The 23,431-nt window shown below is 48.7% G+C and overlaps 4 annotated features.

Moving 5' to 3' along the window:
• Nucleotides 3,790-4,445: an enhancer, noted in NCBI's record as "H3K27ac-H3K4me1 hESC enhancer chr1:17794449-17795104 (GRCh37/hg19 assembly coordinates)". NCBI's record gives its function as "activates a minimal SCP1, AML or CMV promoter by ChIP-STARR-seq in primed H9 embryonic stem cells {active_cell/tissue: H9 hESC(primed)}" and the evidence as "EXISTENCE:reporter gene assay evidence [ECO:0000049][PMID:30033119]".
• Nucleotides 4,446-5,099: an enhancer, noted in NCBI's record as "H3K27ac-H3K4me1 hESC enhancer chr1:17795105-17795758 (GRCh37/hg19 assembly coordinates)". NCBI's record gives its function as "activates a minimal SCP1, AML or CMV promoter by ChIP-STARR-seq in naive H9 embryonic stem cells {active_cell/tissue: H9 hESC(naive)}" and the evidence as "EXISTENCE:reporter gene assay evidence [ECO:0000049][PMID:30033119]".
• Nucleotides 5,100-5,753: an enhancer, noted in NCBI's record as "NANOG-H3K27ac-H3K4me1 hESC enhancer chr1:17795759-17796412 (GRCh37/hg19 assembly coordinates)". NCBI's record gives its function as "activates a minimal SCP1, AML or CMV promoter by ChIP-STARR-seq in primed H9 embryonic stem cells {active_cell/tissue: H9 hESC(primed)}" and the evidence as "EXISTENCE:reporter gene assay evidence [ECO:0000049][PMID:30033119]".
• Nucleotides 5,754-6,407: an enhancer, noted in NCBI's record as "OCT4-NANOG-H3K27ac-H3K4me1 hESC enhancer chr1:17796413-17797066 (GRCh37/hg19 assembly coordinates)". NCBI's record gives its function as "activates a minimal SCP1, AML or CMV promoter by ChIP-STARR-seq in naive and primed H9 embryonic stem cells {active_cell/tissue: H9 hESC(naive and primed)}" and the evidence as "EXISTENCE:reporter gene assay evidence [ECO:0000049][PMID:30033119]".

Here is a 23,431-nt window from a genome sequence, read left to right on the forward strand (position 1 = left end):
ATTGTGAGGTTCTGGAAGAAAAAGATCTAGCTATGTTAATAGAGATTCTTTACAGATGCAAATTTTCCCTAGCAAGGAACAGCTTTGTAGGGACATTTCAAAATATGACAAAGAAACATGTTTTGGGGTAAAATATTTTGATGTTCTTCCTTGTCTCATAATGTTATGCCAGAGTCAGTCAGGTTGGAAAGTCAGTCACAATACCTAGGGTTAAATAAAACCCATCTGAAGAGAATTTATGATTTGTAGGGCATGGCTCCCCAGACCCCTTAGATAGGAATTTGGGCAAGATAAAAATCAGAGTTTAGGCCGGGCGCGGTGGCTCACGCCTGTAATCCCAGCACTTTGGGAGGCCGAGGCAAGCAGATCACGAGGTCAGGAGATCGAGACCATCCTGGCTAACATGGTGAAACCCCGTCTCTACTAAAAATACAAAAAATTAGCCGGGCGTGGTGGCGGGCACCTGTAATCCCAGCTACTCGGGAGGCTGAAGCAGGAGAATGGTGTGAACCCAGGAGGTGGAGCTTGCAGTGAGCTGAGATTGTGCCACTGCACTCCAGCCTGGGCGACAGAGCCAGACAACGTCTCAAAAAAAACAAAAACAAAAAATCAGAGTTTAGTCCTCATGCCTCACATATGTGCCCAGGAAGTGGGTACTCCTGAAATCCCCGTTTCACAGATGAGGAAACTATGGTGGAGTATGAGAGGCTTGGCCAGGGACAGTATAAGAACAGGCACAGGCCAGGTGCGGTGGCTCACGCCTGTCATCCCAGCACTTTGGGAAGCCAAGGTGGGTGGATCACCCGAGGTCAGGAGTTCAAGACCAGCTTGGCCAACATGGTGAAACCCTGTCTCTACTAAAAATACAAAAATTAGCTGGGGATGGTGGTGTGCACCTGTAATCCCAGCTACTTGGGAGGCTGAGGCAGGAGAATCGCTTGAACCTGGGAGGTGGAGGTTGCAGTGAGCTGAGATCACAACACTGCACTCAAAAATGGGCAACAAGAGAAAACTCCATCTCAAAAAAAAAAAAAAAAGAGAACAGGCACAGGTAGAGATGATTAAATAGCAGTGAGCGCTCGGAATCTTGAGGAAGAGAGAAGGAAGGTGGGTAGGGCGTGTACCCATCTTAGATTCTTTGGCTGGGACCCTATTCATTAGACTAACAAAAGACAGATTGGCAAGAGAAAAATAAACAGAAGTTGATTATGACACTTGTACATGGGAGTACTCAGAGGTAAGTGACTCAAGAGGGTGGTTAGAACTGGGGTTTATGTAGCAACTTAACAAAAGAAGAATACATTTTAGTGAAGTGAAAAGACGAAGGGAAAGCACTAGGGCAGCAAATCGTGAGAGGGTCAATATATGGGGGATGAATGGAAGATGGGAGCTAGGAGTGGAGTCGGTTAAGTCTACTCCTCTGGGCCCCAGGAAGTTTAGGGTCTGGAGGTGTCTCTGGGATCAACTTTTGTCCTTCCTGGTGGTTTTTTTTGCGGGGTGGGCACATTTATAAATTTATGTCTTGCTTTTTGGCAGCTACGGGAAGGGCAGAGAGCTTTTCTTCTTCTTTTTTTTTTTTTTTTTTTTGAGACGGAATCTTGCTCTTGTTGCCCAGGCTGGAGTGCAATGGTGCAATCTCAGCTCACTGCAACCTCCACCTCTCGGGTTCAAGCAGTTCGCCTGCCTCAGCCTCCCGAGTAGCTGGGATTACAGACCTGTGCCACCACGCCCGGCACATATTTGTATTTTTAGTAGAGATGGGTTTTCACCATGTTGGCCAGGCGGGTCTCTAACTCCTGACTTCCTGATCCACCCGCCTCGGCCTCCCAAAGTGCTGGGATTACAGGCGTGAGCCACCACACCTGGCCTGTGCCTGTTCTTATACTGTCCCTGGCCAAGCCTCTCATACATCATGAGCCACTGCGCCTGGCCTGCTTTTCTTTCTTTTTCTTTCTTTCTTTCTTTTTTTTTTTTTTTTTGAGATGAGTTTTGCTCTTGTTGCCCACGCTGGAGTGCAATGGTGCTATCTCGGCTCACTGCAACCTTCTCCTCCAGGGTTCAAGCGATTCTCCTACCTCAGCCTCTCGAGTAGCTGGGATTACAGGCACGTGCCACCACGCCCGGCTAATTTTGTATTTTTAGTAGAGACGGGATTACTCCATGTTGGTCAGGCTGGTCTCAAACTCCTGACCTCAGGTGATCCACCCGCCTTGGTCTCCCAAAGTGCTGGGATTACAGGTGGGAGCCACCGACCCTGGCAGAGAGAGCTTTTCTTCTATCTGCTTCTTCTCAGTTGCTTTCAGCTCAACAGGATCCTCATTGCAAAGTGGCATGTTTTGGGCTATTGTATCTGTCAACCTTCAGAGGAATCTGAGAGGCGGGGCCCAGAACAGGTGGGTGGGATTCGGGAGGGAAAGTGGATTTGCTCAGGTACAGGGGTAGGGAGCGCTGTCCCGTCTTCAAGATGTCATCCCCTGCCTTGCTGGAATCTTCCCCACACTGTTCCTGACTCAGGGGCCCAGTCCAGTCTTTTTTTTTTTTTTCTTTGGGACAGAGTCTTGCTCTGTCACTTAGCCTGGAGTGCAGTGTCATGATCTCCACTTACTGCAACCTCTGCCTCCAAGGTTCAGGCAATTCTCATGCCTCAGCCTCCCAAGCAGCTGGGACTACAGGTGTGCACCACCACGCCCAGCTAATTGTTGTATTTTTAAGTAGAGATGGAGTTTCGCCATGTTGGCCAGGCTGGTCTCGAACTTCTGACCTTAGATGATCTGCCTGCCTTGGCCTCCCAAAGTGCTGGGATTATAGGCATGGGCCACTGCACCTGGCCCTGGCTCCCATTTCTGAGCTACATTGAGCTACTGAACTTCTGTGCCTTATTTTCCCCTTCTGTAAAATGGGAATAACAAATTCTTGACCTCAGTCTTCTTCTAAGTATTAAATAATTTTTTTTTTTATTTTTAAATTTTTGCCAGGTGCAGTGGCTCACGCCTGTAATCCTAACACTTTGGGAGGCAGAGGCAGGTGGATCACCTGAAGACGCAAGATCGAGATCAGCCTGGCCAACATGGTGAAATCCCGTCTCTACTAAAAATACAAAAATTAGCTGGGTGTGGTGGTGCACACCTGTAATCCCAGCTACTTGGGAGGCTGAGGCAGGATAATTGCTTGAACCCGGGAGGTGGAGGTTGCACTGAGCTGAGATCCCGCCACTGCACTCCAGCCTGGGCAATAGAGTGAGACTCCATCTCAAATAATAATAATAATAATAATAGTAAATAATAATAATAATTTTTCAAGAATAGAGACGGGGTTTCTTCATGTTGCCCAGGCTAGTCTCGAACTCCTGAGCTCAAGCAATCCACCCGCCTCAGCCTCCCAAACTGATGAGACTACAGGCATCAGCCACCATGCCTGGCTTTAAGTATTAAGTAATATCTGTAATGCACTTCTCAGGCAGCCTGCCTGGCACACAAGAACCCATTCATGTGTCCCTTTGTAAATTCCATAACCAGCTCCTCCAACCTGTGAGAAAACTTGCCAACCGTACTCTCAAAGCAGATATGTTGGGTTTTCCTGGCATCTTGTGAGCACACTTTATTGTAAAAAAACAAAAACAGAATGCCTCTGCTATGTTACATACTGATATGACATTTCTTCTTCTTCTTTTTTTTTTTTTTTGAGACAGAGGGACTCACACTCTGTTGCCCAGGCTGGAGTGCAGTGGTACAATCTCCGCTCACTACAATCTCTGCCTCCTAGGTTCAAGTGATTCTCCTGCCTCAGCCTCTCGAGTAGCTGGTATTACAGGCGTGCATCACCACGCCCGGCTAATTTTTTGTATTTTTAGTAGAGACAGGGTCTCACCAGGTTGTCCATCCTGGTCTCGAACTCCTGACTTCAGGTGATCCACCCGCCTCAGCCTCCCAAGGGCTGGGATTACAGGCATGAGCCACCATGCCCGGCCTTGTTTCTTCATTCTTTTAAATGTTGAGGCATGATTTACTCATAAAATGCGTGCACACATTTTAAGTGTACAGTTCATGATTCATTTTTTTTTTTTTTTGACACAGGGTCTCTCTCTGCTGCCCAGGCTGGAGTGCAGTGGCGTGATCTCCGCTCACCACAGCCTTCACCTCCCAGGTTCAAGCGATTCTTCTGCCTCAGCCTCCCCAGTAGCTGGAACTACAGGCATGCCCCCACCATGCTCAGCTAATTTCTGTATTTTTAATAGAGATGGGGTTTCACCATGTTGGCCACTCTGGTCTCGAACTCCTGACCGCAAATGACCTGCCCGCCTCAGCCTCCCACAGTGCTGGGATCTCAGGCATAAGCCACCACGCTCTGCCATGACTCTTGAGAAATATGAGCATTCATCTAACTGTCATATGTGGAGCATGTCCAGGACCCAAGGGTGTTTCCTCCAGCTCCTTTGCTATCTCTCTTCTCCCACCCTCTTCCCCTGGGCAACCTCTGTTCTGATTTCTATCACTATGGCTCAGTTTTGCCTGTCCTAAAACTTTATTTATTTATTTATTTATTTTGAGGCAGAGTCTCACTCTGTCACCTAGGCTGGAGTGCAGTGGCACTATCTCAGCTCACTGCAACCTCCGCCTCCCAGGTTCAAGCAATTCTCCTGCCTCAGCCTCCTGAGCAGCTGGGATTACAGGTACGCGTCACAATGCCTAGCTATTTTTTGTATCTTTTGGTAGAGACCGGGTTTCACCATGTTGGCCATGCTGGTCTCTAACTCCTGAGCTCAAGTGACCCACCCACCTTGGCCTCTCAAAATGCTGGGATTACAGGCATGAGCCACTGTGCCTGCCCTTATTTATTTTTTTGAGATAGGATCTCACTGTCTCACTATCTGCCCAGGCTGGAGTGCAGTGGCATGACCTCGACTTACTGCAACCTCTGCCTCCCGGGTTCAAGCCGTTCTCATGCCTCAGCCTCCAGGATAGTTGGGATTACAGGCATGTGCCACCACGCCCAGCTAATTTTTGTATTTTTAGTAGATACGGGGTTTCTCCCTGTTGGCCAGCCTGGTCTCGGACTCCTGACCTCAGGTGATCCGCCCGCCTTGGTCTCTCAAAGTGCTGGGATTACAGACGTGAGCCACCGCACTAGGCTGAATCCACTCCTTTTTATTGATGAGAAGTTTTTCACAGTGTACAGGACAGGGAAGGAAGCTGGAGCCCTCTCCTGTAACAAGAGGCAGGTTAAATAGGGAAAAACAACACAAGTTGATTAAGATGTTTACCTTATGTATACGTGGGGGAAGCCCAGAGAAAAGGGGAAATCTCCAAGAAGTGGCTTTGCTTTGTTGGCTTAAATACTATCTTCAACTAACATGAAGAAGGGGGTGGGGGTGGGGGTGGGGGGGGCCGGGCGCGGTGGCTCAGGCCCCTAGTCCCTGCACTTTGGGAGATGGAGGCGAGCAGATCACCTGATGTCAGGGGTTCAAGACCAGCTTGGCCAACATGGTGAAACTCCGTCACTACTAAAAATACAAAAATTAGCCAGGCATGGTGGCGGGCACCTGTAATCCCAGTTACTTGGGAGGCTGAGGCAGGAGAATTGCTTGAACCCAGGAGGCAGAGACAGTGAGCCGAGATCAAGCCACTGCACTCCAGCCTGGCGACAGAGACGGACTCCTCAAAAAAAAAAAAAAAAAAAAAAAAAGAGGCATGGCGCAGTGGCTCACGCCTGTAATCCTAGCACTTTGGGAGGCCGAGGCGGGTGGATCACCTGAGGTCAGGAGCCTGGCCAACATGGCGAAACTCTGTCTCTACTAAAAATACAAAAATTAGCCGGGTGTGGTGGTGGGCGCCTATAATCCCAGCTACTCGGAAGGCTGAGGCAGGAGAATTGCTTGAACCTGGGAGGTGGGGCGGAGGTTGCAGTGAGTCGAGATCACGCCACTGCACTCTAGCTTGGGAGACAGAGCAGGATTCCTTCTCAAAAAAAAAAAAAAAAAGAAAGAAAAAAAAGAAAGAAAGGTGTGTGGAAGTGGAGGGCAGCTATGGAGCGATGACCAGAAAAAGCTCAGCAAACAAGGGTTTGTTATGCAGATTGCAACTGATGCTTTCTCCATTGATAAGAGTTTCTAGTAATTTAGAGTCATTCTTCTCTTCCTGATATGGAGAGGGAGATACTCTTTCAAATGGAGGTTTCCTTTAGAGATGCAAATTTTCCTTACAAAAGAGTAACTCCTACTCTGTTTTTAGAGCTCCTCTTGTGTCTGCAGTTTCTCAAAATAATCAGCTCTAAATAATCCTTATGCCAATGAGGCATATTTTGGGGTGGCATATTCTGGTCTCCCGCAGTCTTATTTTGGGGTGGCGTATTTCTGGCCTCCCGCAAGTTTTCCACGCTGTACAGATAAACCACGATTTGTTTATCCATTCTCCTGTTGATGGACATCCGGATTCTTTCCAGTTTGGGGCTCTTATGCACACAGCAGTGATGAATATTCAGGTAAAAGTCCTGTGTAGCCACATGGTATCAATTCTCATATAAATATCTAGGAGTGAGATTGGTGAGTCTTACGGTAAGTGTGTGTATTGGAAATTGACAAACTATTTCCAAAGAGGTTGTACTATATTGCATACTCACCAGCAAATTATGAATGTTCTATTTGCTCCTAATCCTCTACAACACTTGATACTGTAAATCTGTTTTTTGTTTTTTGTTTTTCAGTCAGAATCTCCCACTGTCACCTAGGCTGGAGTACAGTGGCACAGTCTTGGCTCACTGCAGCTTCAACCTTCAGGGCTCAAGTGATCCTCCCACCACAGCCTCCAGAGCAGCTGGGACTACAGGTGTGCACCACTATGCTTGGCTAATTTTGTTTTTTTTTAATTTTTAAATTTTTTGTAGAGACAGAGTCTCACTGTGTTGCCTAGGCTGGTCTTGAACTCCTGGGCTCAAGCAATCCTCCGGCCTTGGCCTGCCAAAGGGCTGAGGTTACAGGTGTGAGTCATGGTGTTTTGGCAAAATGTTTTAAATTATAACCATTCTAGTAGAAGTGATTTTGATTTTAATTTGATCATTGTGATTTAATTTGCATTTCCTTGATAACTAATGATATAGAACATCTTTTCGTGTACTTATGGCATACTCATCTACTTTGTTTTGTGAAATGTCTGTTCAAGTGTATTGCCCATTTAAAAAAATGGGGCTGGGTGTGGTGGCTCATGCCTATAATCCCAGCACTTTGGGATGCCAAGAAGGGAGGATCACTTGAGACCAGGAGTTCCAGACCAGCCTAGGCAACATAGTGAGACCTAGTCTCTGCAAAACATTTAAAAATTAGCCAGGCATGGTGGTGGTCGTCTGTAGTCTCAGCTACTCAAGAGGCTGAGTTCATAGGATTGTTTTAGCCCAGGAACTCAAGGCTGCAGTGACCTATGATTGCACCACTGTAGTCTAGCCTGGGCAACAGAGCAAGACCCTCATTTCTTTTTTTCTTTTTTTCGGACATGGAGTCTCACTCTGTCACATGATCATAGCTCACTGTGGCCTTGACCTCCTGGGCTCAAGCAAACCTCCCACCACAGCCTCCCTAGAAGCTGGGATTTCAGGCATGTGCCACCACACCCAGCTAATTTTTGTATTTTTTATAAAGATGTGACTTTGGCATGTTGCCCACACTGGTCTCAAACTCCTGGGCTCAAGCAATCCTCACCTTCCCAAAGTGCTGGGATTATACGTGTGAGCCACTGTGCCTGGTGGAGACACTATTTTTTTAAAAAGAGAATTCGGCCAGGCATGGTGGCTCACACCTGTAATCCCAGCACTTTGGGAGGCCGAGATGGGCAGATCACAAGGTCAGGAGTTCAAGCCCAGACCAGCCTGACCATGATGGTGAAACCCTGTCTCTACTAAAAATACAAAAACTAGCCAGGCATGGTGGCGCATGCCTGTAGTTCCAGCTACTTGGGAGGCTGAGGCAGAAGAACTGCTGGAACCCAAGAGGCAGAGGTTGCAGTGAGCCGACATCGTGCCACTGCACTCCAGCCTGGGCAACAGAGGGAAACTCCGTCTCAAAAAAAAAAAAAAAAATTCTGTTTTTGTGTAAGGTGTGAAATAAGAGTCCAGGTTAATTATTTTACTTTATTATTATTATTATTATTATTATTATTTTGAGACGGAGTCTAGCTCTGTCGCCCAGGCTGGAGTGCAGTGGCACAATCTCAGCTCACTGCAAGCTCCGCCTCCCGGGTTCACACCATTCTCCTGCCTCAGCCTCCCGAGTAGCTGGGACTACAGGCGCTTGCCACCACGCCTGGCTAATTTTTATATCTTTTGTAGAGACAGGGTTTCCCCACAATGGCCAAGCTGGTGTTGAACTCCTGACCTCAGGTGATTCACCTGCCTCGGCCTCTCAAAGTGCTGGGATTACAGGCGTGAGCCACCGCGCCCGGCCAAGGCATTTTTTTTTTCTTTGAGACAGAGTCTCTCTCTGTTGCCCAGGCTGGAGTGCAGTGGCATGATCTCCACGTCCCGGGATCAAGCAATTCTTTTGCCTCAGCACCCCCATGTAGCTGGGACTACAGGCATACATCACTACACCTGGCTAATTTTTGTATTTTCACTAGAGACGGGGGTTTCACGGGGTTGGCCAGGCTGATCTTGAACTCCTGACCTCAAGGGATCCACTGGCCTTGGCCTCCCGAAGTGCTGGGATTACAGGCCTGAGCCACAGCACTTGGCCCGTTTAAGGCATTCTAAGTCACAGCATGAGATAGGAGATTGGCACAAGATACAGGTCATAAAGACCTTACTGATAAAACAGGTTTGCAGTAAAGAAGCCAGCTAAAACCCACCAAAACCAAGATGGCGATAAGAATGACCTCTGGTCGTCCTCACTGCTACACTCCCACCAGTGACCTGACAGTTTACAAATGCCATGGCAACGACAGGCAGTTACTGTATAAAGTCTAAAAAGGAGAAACATGAATAATCCACCTCTTGTTTAGCACATAATTAATAAATAACCATCAAAATGGGCAACCAGCAACCCTCAGGGCTGCTTTGCCTGTGGAGTACCTATTCTTTGTTCCTTTACTTTTCTAATAAATTTGCTTTCATTTTACTGTACGGACTCGCCCTGAATTCTTTCTTGGGAGAGATCCAGGAACTTGGGGTCTGCATCAGGACCCCTTTCTGGTAACAAGAACTTTGGTCAAATATTATTCTGAGGCCGGGCGTGGTGGCTCATGCCTGTAATCCTAGCACTTTGGGAGGCTGAGGCAGGTGGATCACCTGAGGTCAGAAGTTCAAGACCAGCCTGGTGAACATGGTGAAACCTCATCTCTACTAAATATACAAAAATTAGCCAGGCATGGTGGCGGGCGCCTGTAATCCCAGCTACTCAGGAGGCTGAGGCAGGAGAATGGCGTGAACCTGGGAGGCAGAGCTTGCAGTGAGCCGAGATCATGCCACCGCACTCCAGCCTGGGCGACAGAGCGAGACTGCGTCTTAAAAAAAAAAAAAATTTTTTTTAAATTAGCCAACTCTGGTCATGTGTGCCTGTGGTCACTACAGTCTCTGGGATTGTAGGACACACCAACACGCCCTGTTAATTTTTTTTTTTTTTTTTGTAGAGATGGGGTCTGGCGATGTTGCCCAGGCCAGTCTTGAACTCCTGGCCTCAACTGATCCTCCTGCTGTCATGGCCACCTGAAGTGTTGCGATTACAGATGTGAGCCACCATGTCTGCTGGCACAAATTTTATTATATGTTAGGATCTATAACAATATCCCTTCATTCCTGATATTAGGAATTTGTGTTTTTACTTTTTAATTTTTTTATATTTATTTATTTATTTATTTTTGAGGCGAAGTCTCGCTCTTGTCCCCCAGGCTGGAGTGCAATGGCGCAATCTCGGCTCACTGCAACCCCCGCCTCCTGGGTTCAAGCCATTCTCCTGCCTCAGTTTCCCAAGCAGCTGGGACTACATGTGCATGCCGCCATGCCCAGCTAATTTTTGTATTTTCAGTACAGACGGGATTTCACCATATTGGCCAGGCTGGTCTCGAACTCCTGACTTGTGATCCACCCGCCTCAGCCTCCTAAAGTGCTGGGATTACAGGCGTGTGCCACCATGCCGGGCCTACTTTTAATTTTTTTTATTTTTGTTTTTTGAGACAGAGTGTTGCTCTGTCACCCAGGCTGTAGTGCAATGGTGCAATTTTGCCCCACTGCAACCTCCACCTCCCAGGTTCAAGCGATTCACTAGCGTCAGTCTCTGAGTAGCTGGAATTATAGGCATGTGTCACCACGCCTGGCTAATTCACTTTTGTATTCTTGATTAGTCTTGCTTGAGGTTTATCAATTTTGTGAATCTTTTCAAATAACCAACTTTTGTGGGTTGGTTGGTTTGTTTGTTTTGAGACAGAGTCTCACTCTGTCACCCAGGCTGGAATGTAGTGGCAGGACCTCAGCTCACTGCAACCTCTGCCTCTTAGGTTCAAGTGGTTCTCCTGCCTCAGCCTCCCAAGTAGCTGGGATTACAAGCATGAGCCACCTCACCTGGCCCAACTTTTGTTTTTGATAATTTTTTTCTATTTTCTTCTTTTTTCTAATTCATTGATTTCTGATCTTTATTCTTTCTTTCTTTCTTTTTTTTTTTTTGAGATGGAGTGTCGCTCTGTTGCCCAGGCTGGAGTGTAGTGGCGTGATCTCGGCTCACTGCAACCTCCACCTCCCGGGTTCCAGCGATTCTCCCGCCTCAGCCTCCCGAGTAGCTGGGACTACAGGTGCGCATCACGGAGCCCCGCTAATTTTTGTATTTTTTAGTAGAGAGGGAGTTTCACCATATTGGCCGGGCTGGTCTTGAACTCCGCCCACCTCGGCCTCCCAAAGAGCTAGGATTACAGGCATGAGCCACCGCGCCCAGCCTTATTGTTTCTTTTCTTCTACTTACTTTGGGTTTAATTTTCTGTTGTTCTCTTAGGTTCTTTATATAACCATCTCCAATATAACCATTCTTTGCTATTATAACCATTGCAAGCTATATATTTTCTTCTACTTACTTTGGGTTTAATTTTCTATTGTTCTCTTAGATTCTTAATATAACCATCTCCAATGTAACCATTCTTTGCTATTATAACCATTGAAAGCTATACATTTTCCAGGCTGGGTGGGGCGGCTCATGCCTCTAATTCCAGCACTTTGGGAGCCTGCGGTGAGAGGATTACTTGAGTTTAAGAGTTCAGGGCTGGGCGTGGTGGCTCTTGCCTGTAATCCCAATACTTTGGGAGGCCGAGGCAAGCGGATCACCTGAGGTCAGGAGTTCAAGACCAGCCTGGCCAACATGGTGAAACCCGTCTCTACTAAAAATAGAAAAAATTAGCTGGGCATGGTGGCATGTGCCTGTAATCCCAGCTACTTGGGAGGCTGAGGCAGAAGAATCGCTTGAACCTGGGAGGCGGAGGTTGCAGTGAGCCGAGATCGCACCATTGCACTCCAGCCTGGGCAAAAAGAGCAAAGATCTGTCTCCAAAAAAATAAAAGAAACAGTTCAAAACCAGGCTGTCCAACATAGTGGGGCCCCATCTCTACAAACACACAAAAAAATTAATACAGTAGCTGGACATGGTGGCACATGCCTGCAGTCCCAACTACTCAGGAGGCTGAGGTGGGAGGGCTACTGGAGCCTAGGATGTTGAGGCAGCAGAGGCCTGTGATTGTGTAATTGCAGCACTCTAGCTTGAGTGACAGAGCAAGAGAGAATCTGCGATTACAGGTGTGAGTCACTATGCCCAGCCTGTTTCACTTATACCCTGCAGAAGATGCTATCTGGAGGCCTGGCGTCATCTTCCCCCATGCATGTTCAGCCAGCCCTTAGTCAAGGACTTTTAGTGGACATTCCTCCTCTCCCCTGCCAGACCTCGGGGCCTCCTTCTGCACAGACTCCTCCTCTCTGGCACCATGTCCCACCATTTCTAGCCATTTCCACTGCCCCAAATGCTAACTCCACCTTCTCAGCTCAGCAGGACACTAAGTTCTGCCTGGACTCCAGCTCACCGTGCAGTGATTACAAAACTGTCCCCAGGAAGAGGGTAGGGAGAGGGGCAGAGGGTGAAGTCTCACCTTGTGAGTTTCCCTCCACTCGGGGGTCATAGGCTTGTGCTGCCTGTGGTTCAGTGCCTGAAGACTGGCATTCACGGCTTTTGTCCAGTTTAGTTTAATGGTTTCTTAAGATGAGAGGGCTTGTGGGGTACCAGTTACAGCATGGCTGTAAGTGAAGGTCACCCTCCTCACTAAGATGATGTTTCTTTTTTTTTTTTTTCTTTTTTGACAGAGTCTTGCTCTTGTCGCCCAAGCTGGAGTGCAGTGGCGTGATCTCGGCTCACTGCAACCTCCGCCTCATGGGTTCAAGCTATTCTCCTGTCTCAGCCTCCTGAGTATCTGGGATTACAGGCACACGCCACCATGCCTGGCTAATTTTTTGTATTATTGTAGAGACGAAGTTTCACCATGTTGTCCAGGCTAGTCTCGAATTCCTGATCTCAGGTGATCTGCCTGCCGCTGCCTCCCAAAGTGCTGGGATTATCAGTGTGAGACACCGTGTCTGGCAACTGATGTTTCTTGAAAGTCTGTTGTAAACTTTTTTGTTTTTGAGACAAGGTCTCACTCCCTCAGGCTGGAGTGCAGTGGCACAATCTCGGCTCACTGCAACCTCTGCTTCCGCTTCCCCCGTTCAAGCGATTCTCTTGCCTCAGCCTCCTGAGTAGCTGGGACCAGAAGTAGTGATGGGGTTTCACCATGTTGGCCAGGCTGGTCTCAAACTCCTGACCTCAAATCATCTGCCCACTTCGGCCTCCCAAAGTGCTGGGATTACAGGTGTGAGATATCACGCCCTGCTGTCTCTTGTAAATATTAAAATAATACAGAGGATCACTGAAGGGAAAGTAGAAAAATACAGAAAAGGTTGACTGGGCACGGTGGCTCACACCTGTAATCCCAGCACTTTGGGAGGCTGAGGCAGGTGGATCACGAGGTCAAGATATCGAGACCATCCTGGCCAATATGGTGAAACCCCATCTCTACTAAAAAATACAAAAACTAGCTGGGCGTGGTGGTGTGTGCCTGTAGTCCCAGCTGCTCAGTAGGCTGAGGCAGGAGAATCGCTTGAACTCAGGAGGTGGAGGTGGCAGTGAGCCAAGATTGCCCTACTGCACTCCAGCCTGGGTGACAGAGTGAGACTCCGTCTCAAAAAAAAAAAAAAAAAAAATTACAGAAAAGGAGGTTGAGGGAGAAGAAAGGTTGTCCATTGACGCTTCACTTTGTAAATTATTTTTTCCATTTATAGCAGCACTTTCTAGGAGCCTTCAAACCTAAGTGTTGTATTTCACCACAAGGGGCTCTAGTGAGCTGAAGCTGATAAAAGATCCTGAAGTTGGAATGGCCAGGATCTCAGCAGATACTAATGGAAGTTTTTCTGATCAATGAACAACAGGACCAACTGTGTTCAGACCTGTGGACCCATTCGTTCCTCTCCCGGGCACTGGTTTTCCAGGCCTCATTCGCAGAGTGCAACTGACTCCCTTTTCAGCCTTGAAACCCGCTGACTCTGCCCTCAGGAACCGCAGTTGTGTTTCTCTGCTGCTCTGCATTTCCTTGCAGGGCCTGAGCATGGACTCAGCGTGGGCATGTTTTGCTTTGGTGGCCTTGATTTTTCTTGTTTTTTAGGACGGGGTCTTGCTCTGTCGCCCAGGCTGGAATGCAGTGGTGTGATCTCGGCTCACTGCAACCTCCACGTCCTGGGTTCAAGTGATTCTCCTGCTTCTGTCTCCCGAGTAGCTGGGATAACAGGCATGCACCAACACACCGGGCTAATTTTTGTATTTTTTAGTAGAGACAGGGTTTCTTTTTCTTTTTTCTTTTTTCTTTTTTTTTTTTTGAGACAGAGTTTCGTTCCTGTTGCCCAGGCTGGAGTGCAGTGGCATGATCTTGGCTCACTACAACCTTCACCTCCTGGGTTCAAGCGATTCTCCTGCCTCAGCCTCCCGAGTAGCTGGGATTACAGGCATGCACCACCATGCCCAGCTAATCTTTGTATTTTTAGTAGAGACAGGGTTTCACCATGTTGGCCAGGTTGGTCTCGAACTGCTGACCTCATGTGATCAGCCCGCCTCAGCCTTCCAAAGTGCTGGGATTACAGGCATGAGCCACCGTGCCTGGCCTTGTGCTTTTTCTTTTTCTTTCTTTTTTTTGGGGTGGGGGAGGGGATGGAGTTTTGCTCTTGTTGCCCAGGCTTGAGTGCAATGGCAGGATTTCAGCTCACTGCAACCTCCGCCTCCTGGGTTCAAGCAATTCTCCTGCCTCAGCTCCCAAGTAGCTGGGACTATAGGCGCGTACCACCACGCCCGGCTAATTTCTGTATTTTTTAGTAGAGATGGGGTTTCACCATATTGGCCAGGCTGGTCTTGAACTCCTGACCTTGTGATCCGCCTGCCTCGGACTCCCAAAATGCTGGGATTACAGGCGTGAGCCACTGCACCCGGCGAAAAACCCACTTTATTTATTTTATTTATTTATTTTTTGAGGCGGAGTTTCGCTCTTGTTGCCCAGGCTGGAGTGCAATGGCACGATCTCGGCTCACCGCAAACTCTGCCTCCCAGGTTCAAGCGATTCTCTTGCCTCAACCTCCCTAGTAGCTGGGATTACAGGCATGTGCCACCACGCCCGGCTAATTTTGTATTTTTAGTAGAGATGGGGTTTCTTCATGTTGGTCAGGCTGGTCTCGAACTCCTGATCTCAGATGATCCGCCCGCCTCGACCTCCCAAAGTGCTGGGATTACAGGCATGAGCCACCGTGCCCAGCCAAAAACCCACTTTAACTACTGTGAATCAGACTGTGTATTCAGAGCAGCCTGAAATCTATGCTCCTGGGTGGCCATCCTGAAGCTCTGAGTTGGAATAAACTCTGTACTTAATCACAGTTTCCGAATTTTGTTATATATGGTTGACAGCACTATTTTTTTTTTCTTTTTTGAGATGGAGTCTCGATCTGTCGTCCAGGCTAGAGTGCAATGAGACTATCTTCCTCACTGCAACCTCCGCCTCCCGGGTTCAGGCAGGTGGATCACTTGAGGCCAGGAATTCGATACCAGCCTGGCCAATATGGCAAAACCCTGTCTCTACTAAAAATACAGAAATTAGCCAGGCATGGTGGCAGGCACCTGTAATCCCAGCTACGTGGGAGGCAGAGGCAGGAGAATCGCTTGAACCCAGAAGGCAGAGGTTGCAGTGAGCCAAGATTGTGCCTCTGCACTCCAGCCTGGGCGACAGAGCAAGACTCCGTCTCAAAAAAAAAAAAGAAAAAAACAAAAAACAACCATGATGATGTGTGCTACTAAAGGGGAAAAGTTGCATTGGAAACTTGTTAAAAATGGCAAAGCAAGACTTTATTCAAGTCTATTACAGTGGTGGAGAGAGATTGAACTCAACTATGAATACAGCACAGACAGCTGGGGATTTATAGCCATAGCGGTGGAAAATTTTTTTTCTAACTAGCCTTCATAGGTTCTATGGCTGGGGCCTTGTATATGGGGCTGACAAAAGACAGATTAACAGAGAAAAACAAACAGATGGTTTTGTTAACATGAGCATTACACATACACGTGGGAAAACCCAGAGATAAGTAACTCAGGAGGGCAATCAGAACGGGGAGGCCAGGCGTGGTGGCTCATACCTGTAATTCCAAAGCTTTGGGAGGCCGAAGAGGGTGGATCACTTTGCCCCAGGAGTTTGAGACGAGCCTGGGGAACATGGTGAAATCCTGTCTCTACAAAAAATACAAAAATTAGCCAGGCATGGTGGCACCACCATGCCTGTAGTCCCAGCTACTCAGGCTGAGGTGGGAGGATCACTTGAGCCCAGGAGGTGGAGGTTGCAGTGAGCCAAGATCATGCTACTGCATCCAGCCTCGGGGACAGAGTGAGTCCCTGTCTGAAAAAAGAAAAAAAAAGAAAAAGAAAAAAAAAAAAAGAACTGGGGCTTATATAGCAGCTTAACAAAAGAGTAATACTTTTTTTTGTTTGTTTGTTTGTTTGAGACGGAGTTTCACTCTTATTGCTCAGGTTGGAGTGCAATGGTGTGGTCTCAGCTCACTGCAACGTCTGCCTCCCGGGCTCAAGTGATTCTCCTGCCTCAGCTTCCCCAGTAGTTGGGATTACAGGCACCTGCCACCATGTCCAGCTGATTTTTGTATTTTTAGTAAAGACGGGGTTTCACCATGTTGGCCAGGCTGGTCTTGAACTCCTGACCTCAGGGGATCTGCCCACCTCAACTTTCCAAAGTGCTGGGATTACAGGCATGAGCCACCACTCCTGGTCAAGAGTAATACATTTTTATTTTATTTATTTATTTTTTTGAGACAGAGTCTCGCTCTGTCACAGTGCAGTGGCGCAATCTTGGCTCACTGCAACCTCTGCCTCCCAGGTTCAAGCGAGTCTTCTGCCTCAGCCTCCTGAGTGGCTGGGACTACAGGCGCACACCACCACGCCCGGCTAATTTTTGTACTTTTAGTAGAGATGGGGTTTCACCATATTGGCCAGGCTGGTCTTGAACTCCTGACCTCGTGATCCGCCCGCCTCAGCCTCCCAAAGTGCTGGGATTACAGGCGTGAGCCACCATGCCCGGCGAGTAATACATTTTTAAAGAAGTATTTTTAGACAAGATGAAGGGAAAGAACTTTGAGTTTCTAGTGCAGCAAATCATGAGAGGGTCATATATGGGGGAATGAATGGAAGATGAGGGCTAGTTGGTCGAGTTGGTTATGTAGACTCCTCCAGTGCCATTCCAGGCGGATAAGAATCTACAGCTGTCTCTGGGATTAACTTCAGTCCTTTCTAGTGGTCTTGAAGTGGATACCTTAGTAAACTTATTTATCTATTTATTTATTTAGAGACGGAGTCTTCTTGCTCTGTCACCTAGCCTGGAATGCAGTGGTGCGATCTCAGCTCACTGCAACCTCTGTCCCTCAGGTTCAAGCGATTCTCCTGCTGCAGCCTCCTGAGTAGCCGGTACTACTGGTGCACGCCACCATGCCTGGCAAATTTTTTTAGTTTTAGTAGAGACGGGGTTTCACCATGTTGGTCAGGCTGGTCTCGAACTCCTGACCTAAGGTGATCCACCCGGCTTGGCCTCCCAAAGTGCTAGGATTACAGGCGTGAGCCACCGTGCCTGGCCACCTTTGTAAATTTACATCTTGCTTTTTGTCAACTAGGGGAAGGGCAGAGAGCTTTTCTTGTATCTGCTTCTTCTTAATTGGCTTCAGCTCAACATGATCCTTATGCCAAAGTTGCATGTTTTGGCGTGACATATTTTGCCACTCTACCTAGCCAAGGGGCAGAGTGAGGGAGGTGAATAATTTTATTTTAACAGTGCCCCTGTCAGGAGGGGAAGCAAGGGCTCACCTGATTTATTCATGATGTTTATTCACTCCCAGAGCCCAGATCTGGGAGATAGACCTGGCACTTTTTTTATTTTTTTGAGACAGAGTTTCGCTTTTGTTGTCTTGGCTGGGGTGCAATGGCTCGATCTCAGCTCACCACAACCTCTGCCTTCTGGGTTCAAGCGATTCTCCTGCCTCAGCCTCCCGAGTAGCTGGGATTACAAGCATGGGCCACCATGCCCAGTTAATTTTTTTGTATTTTTAGTAGAGACGGGGTTTCTCCATGTTCATCATGCTAGTCTCGAACTCCCGACCTCAGGTGATCCGCCCGCCTCGGACTCCCAAAGTGCTGGGATTACAGGTGTGAGCCACCGGGCCCGTCCAGACCTGGCACATTTTTTTGCAAATTAGGGAAAGGGTGGTGATATGGTTTGGCTGTGTCCCCACTCAAATCTCATCTTGAATTGTAGTTCCCATAATCCCCACATGTTGTGGGAGGGACCAGGTGGAGGTAATTGAATCATGGGGGTGGTTTCCCCCATGCTGTTCTCGTGATAATGAGTGAGTCTCAGGAGGTCTGATGGTTTTGTAAGTGTCTAGCATTTCTCCTGCTGGCATTCCTTCTCTCTCCTGCCGCCTTGTGTTTTTTTGAGACAGAGTCTCGGTCTGTCACCCAGGCTGGAGTGCAATGGCATGATCTCGGCTCACTGCAACCTCCGCCTCCCGGGTTTAGGCAATTATCCTGCCTCAGCCTCCCGAGTAGCTGAAATTACAGGCGCCCGCCACCACGCCTGGCTAATTTTTGTATTTTTGGTAGAGACGTGGTTTCACCATGTTGACCCCAGGCTGGTCTCTTGGCCAGGCTCGTCTTGAACTCCTGACCTCATGATCCGCCCACCTCAGCCTCCCAAAGTGCTGGGATTACAGGTGTGAGCCACCGCGCTCAGCCTTTTGTTTTGTTTTGAGAGGGAGTCTTGCTCTGTCACTCAGGCTGGAGTGCAGTGGCTTGATCTCAGCTCACTGCAACCTCTGCCTCCCGGGTTCAAGCGATTCTCCTGCCTCAGCTCCCAAGTAGCTGGGATTACAGGCGCTCACCCCCACGCCCGACTAATTTTTGTATTTTTCAGTAGAGACTGGGTTTCACATATTGGCCAGGTTGGTCTTGAACCCCTGACCTCGTGATCCGCCTGCCTCAGCCTCCCAAAATGCTGGGAGATCTGTATTTTTTTTTTTGAGACGGAATTTCGCTCTCATTGCCCAGGCTGGAGTGCAAATGGCACGATCTCGGCTCACCGCAATTTCCGCCTCCCAGGTTCAAGCGATTCTCCTGCCTCAGCCTCCTGAGTAGCTGGGATTAGAGGCATGCGCCACCACGCCTGGCTAATTTTGTATTTTTAGTAGAGACAGGGTTTCACCATGTTGGCCAGGCTGGTCTCAAACTCCCTACCTCAAGTGATCCACCCTCCTCAGCATCCCAAAGTGCTGGGATTACAAGTGTGAGCCACTGCGCCCAGCCTCTCCTGCCGCCCTGTGAAGAAGCACGTGTCTGCTTCCTCTTCCGCCGTGATTGTAAGTTTCCTGCGGCCTTTCCAGACATGTGGAACTGAGTCAGTTGAACCTCTTTTCTTTATAAATTACCCAGTCTTGAGTATTTCTTCATAGCAGCATGAGAACAGACTAATACAGGTGGCCCCATTTGTAAATTATTTTGATGGGAGGGGGCTGGGACCTGGAGGCGGGAGGAGGGGCAGGTGAGGGGCAAAATGAAAAGGAAAGCACTTTTTCAGAGTTAGGGCAAATGTCTCAGAATTAATTGAACCTTGTTTTCCTTTTTTTTTTTTTTTTGAGATGAAATCTCACTCTGTCACCCAGGCTGGAGTGCAGTGGTGGAATCTTGGCTCACTGCAACCTCTGCCTCCCTGGCTCAAGTGATCCTCCCACCTCAGCCTCCCAAGTAGGTGGGACCACAGATGTGTGCCACCATGCCAGGCTAATTCTTTTTTTTTTGAGACAGAGTTTTGCTCTGTCGCCAGGCTGGAGTGTAGTGGCATGATCTTGGCTCACTGCCACCTCCGCCTCCCGGGTTCAAGCAATTCTGTTGCCTCAGCCTCCTGAGTAGTTAGGACTACAGGCGAGTGCCACCACTCCCAGCTAATTTTTGTATTTTTAGTAGAGATGGGGTTTCACCATATTGTCCAGGATTGTCTCCATCTCTTGACCTCAAGATCTGCTCGCCTCGCCTCCCAAAGTGTTGGGATTACAGGCGTGAGCCACTGCACGCAGCCTAATTCTTTTTTTGTAGAGACAGAGTTTCACCATATTGCCCAGTCTGATCTTGAACTCCTGAACTCAAGCAATCCTGTCTTGGCCTCCCAAAGTGCTAGGATTACAGGCATGAGCCACTGTGCCCAGTTGACCTTATTTTCCATAGGCACATGCTCCAGCATGACGTTTTCCAAAAGCCACTTGCTGGAAGTACAGATATTCCTCTGATGGCTTTAGGCACTGGGAATACAGCAGTGACCAATTCCAATAAAGATCCTGCCCTCCCAGGGCTTCCATTCTAATGTGGGGAAGCAGTCATTGAACAAAACAGAGAATGAACGGTGGGGTCTGGGAGGGAAGACCTCCATTGCAGAGAAAGGTTGCAACTGCAGGTGTGGATGTGGGCAGAGAAGATTTCACTGGGAAAGAAGCATTCAGGAGGCCAGCAGGTGCAAAGGCTCTGGGGCAGGAGTGTGCCTATTGTGTTGAGGCTACACAGGCAAGGGAGCTGGTGTGACTGGAGTGGAGTGAGGAGAGAAGTGATGGGGAGGAGATGAAGAGGGAGAGGTAAGGGGTGCAGGGTGCAGGAGCTTTTACCTGTGGAATGCACTGAATGGAGGGGACATGACTTGTCTTATTTATTATTGATTGATTGATCGAGACAGAGTCTCGCTGTGTAGCCCAGCTGGAGTGCAATGGCACAATCTCGGCTCACTGCAACCTCCATCTCCTGGGTTCAAGCGATTCTCCTGCCTTAGCCTCCCAAGTAGCTGGGACTACAGGTGCCTGCCACCATGCCCGGCTAATTTTTTTTTTTTTTTTTTGAGACAGAGTCTCACTCCATCGCCAGACTGGAGTGCAATGGTGCAATCTCAGCTCACTGCAACCTCTGCCTCCCGGGTTCAAGTGATTCTTCTGCCTCAGCCTCCCGAGTAGCTGGGACTACAGGCACCTGCCACCACGCCCGGCTAATTTTTTGTATTTTTAGTAGAAACGGGGTTTCACCATGTTGGCCAGGATGGTCTCGATCTCTTGACTTCGTGATCTACCCGCCTCGGCCTCCCAAAGTGCTGGGATTACAGGCGTAAGCCACCGTGCTCGGCCCATCTGGCTAATTTTTTTTTTTTTTTTTTTTTTTTTTGAGACGGAGTCTCACTCTGTCACCCAGGCTGGAGTGCAGTGGCGTGATCTCAGCTCACTGCAAACTCTGCCTCCCGGGTTCATGTCATTCTCCTGCCTCAGCCTCCCGAGTAGCTGGGACTACAGGCGCCTGCCACCACGCCCGGCTAATTTTTTTCTATTTTCAGTAGAGACGGGGTTTCACTGTGTTAGCCAGGATGGTCTCGAACTCCTGACCTTGTGATCCTCCCGCCTCGGCCTCCCAAAGTGCTAGGATTACAGGCGTGAGCCACCACGCCCGGCCTCCATCTGGCTAATTTTTGTATTTTTAGTAGAGATGGGGTTTTGCTGTGTTGGCCACACTGGTCTCAAACTCCTGACTTGTGATCTGCCTGCCTTGGCCTCCCAAAGTGCTGGGATTTCAGGCGTGAGCCGCCGTGCGTGGCCGACTTATCTTATTTTTTAATGGAATGCCGTGCTTGCTATGTCGAGAAGGAACGATGGTATGCTGTGCTTGCCCCCTGCTGGTAGCAGGGAGGTGGGTTGGCGACCACTGTGAAAATCCAAGGGAGAGGTGAGCACGGTTTGCTCAGGATGTTGGCAGGAAGGCAAGGTGGTCAAACATGGTTGCATTTGAGATCTATTTTGAAGGAGGAGCCATTAGGATTCACTGGTTGTTGGGTGTGGATTTACCCTAAGCTGCTGGAAGCCTGGAGTCATGGCCATTAATGGAGAGAAGAAGATGGATGGACCAATGGTGTGGGGAGCAGGTGGGAGTGTGCAGTTGGGAGCTATGTCCAGGACACATGGACACAAGATGCTGTCAGCATCCTGGTGGAGGTGCTGCATAAGCAGTTGGCTCTCTGAATCTGGAGAGATCTGGCCTGGAGATAGAAATACGAGAGTCTGGCCGGGCGTGGTGGCTCATGTCTGTAATCCCAGCACTTTGGGAGGCCAGGGCAGGCAGATCACAAGGCCAAGAGATCGAGACCATCCTGGCCAACATGGTGAAGCCCCATCTCTACTAAAAATACAAAAAGTAGCCAGGCGCGGTGGTGCGTGCCTGTAATACCAGTTACTTGGGAGGCTGAGACAGGAGAATCGCTTGAACCGGGGAGGCAGAGGTTGCAGTGAGCCAAGATCACACCACTGCACTCCATCCAGCCTGGCCATGAAGCGAGACTCCGTCTCAAAAAAAAAAAAAGAAAAGAAAAGAAAAAAAGAAATATGGGAGTCTATCCACCTCAGGGAGGCAGACCACATAAAGCCTTGAAGTGCATGGGATCCTCAGAGAGGTAGAATCCCTGGCACTGGAAGGCCTCCTGCAGCTCCTCCAATCCAAGGCTCACATTTCACAGGGGGGAAAAAAAGTATTAATAGAAGCCCAGAGAGGGGAGGTTATTTATTGCTCTAGATCAGGAGTCCCCAACCCCTGGGTTACAGAGCATTACCTGTCTGTGGCCTGTTAGGAACCTGGCCGCACAGCAGGAGGTGAGCGGTTGGCTCTAGCGAAGCTGAGCTCGTCCTCCTATCAGATCAACGGCAGCATTAGATTCTCACAGGAGCGTGAACCCTATTGTGAACTGCACATGTGAGGGATCTAGGTTGCTCACTCCTTATGAGAATCTAATGATAAATGTCAAGCGCTTGAATCGTCCAGAAGCCATCCTTTCTTCCTCCCCCGACTCAGTCTGTGGAAAAATTATCCTCCACGAAACCGGTTCCTGGTGCCAAAAACACTGGGGACCGCCGCTATATGTTTCGTCCCTGCAAAATTCGTATGTTGAAACGTACCCCACAATGTGACGGTATTAGAAGGTGTGGCTTTGGGAGATGATTATGTCACAGCCCTCATGAATGAGATCAGTGCCCTTATAAGAGAACTTTGCTGCTCCCAAGAGCTTGCTCACCCTTCTGCCATGTGAGGACACACAGAGGAAGCGCCATCTATCAACCAGAAGAGGGGCCCTTGGCAGACACCGAACCTACCAATGCCTTGATCTTGGACTTTTCAGCTGCCGGAACAGTGAGAAATAAATTTCTGTTGTCTATGGTATTTTGTTATAGCAGAGTCGATTATAACTGAGCTGATTAAGATGCTGGTCCCAGGTCACGTATCTGGGTGATGACAAAGTTAGGAATAAGACGTTGTTGGCAAGACCAGCACCCATTCCCACACCCAGTTTGTTATTGCTTTTCTTTTTTTTTTTCTTTTTGAGACAAGGTCTAGCTCTTACGCCCAGACTGGAGTGTAGTGGCAAGATCTTGGCTCACTGCAACCTCTGCCTTCCAGGCTCAAGCTGTCCCCACCGCAAACTCCTGAGTAGTTGGGACTACAGGCGTGCACCACCACACTAGGCTGATTTTTGCTTTTTTTTTTTTTGAAACGAAGTCTCACGCTGTCACCCAGGCTCGAGATCAGTGGCGCAATCTTGGCTCACTGCAACCTCCACCTCCTGGGTTCAAGCGATTCTCCTGCCTCAGCCTCCCGAGTAGCTGGCCTTACAGGCGCAAGCTGCCATGCCCAGCTAATTTTTTGTATTTTTGGTAGAGATGGGGTTTCACCGTGTTGCCCAGATGGGTCTCAAACTCCTGAGCTCAGGCAATCTGCCCGTCTTGGCCTCCTTGGCCTCGCAAA

The sequence above is a fragment of the Homo sapiens genome, chromosome 1 (genome assembly GCF_000001405.40).
Source record: "Homo sapiens chromosome 1, GRCh38.p14 Primary Assembly".
In the NCBI taxonomy this organism is placed as follows: domain Eukaryota; kingdom Metazoa; phylum Chordata; class Mammalia; order Primates; family Hominidae; genus Homo; species Homo sapiens.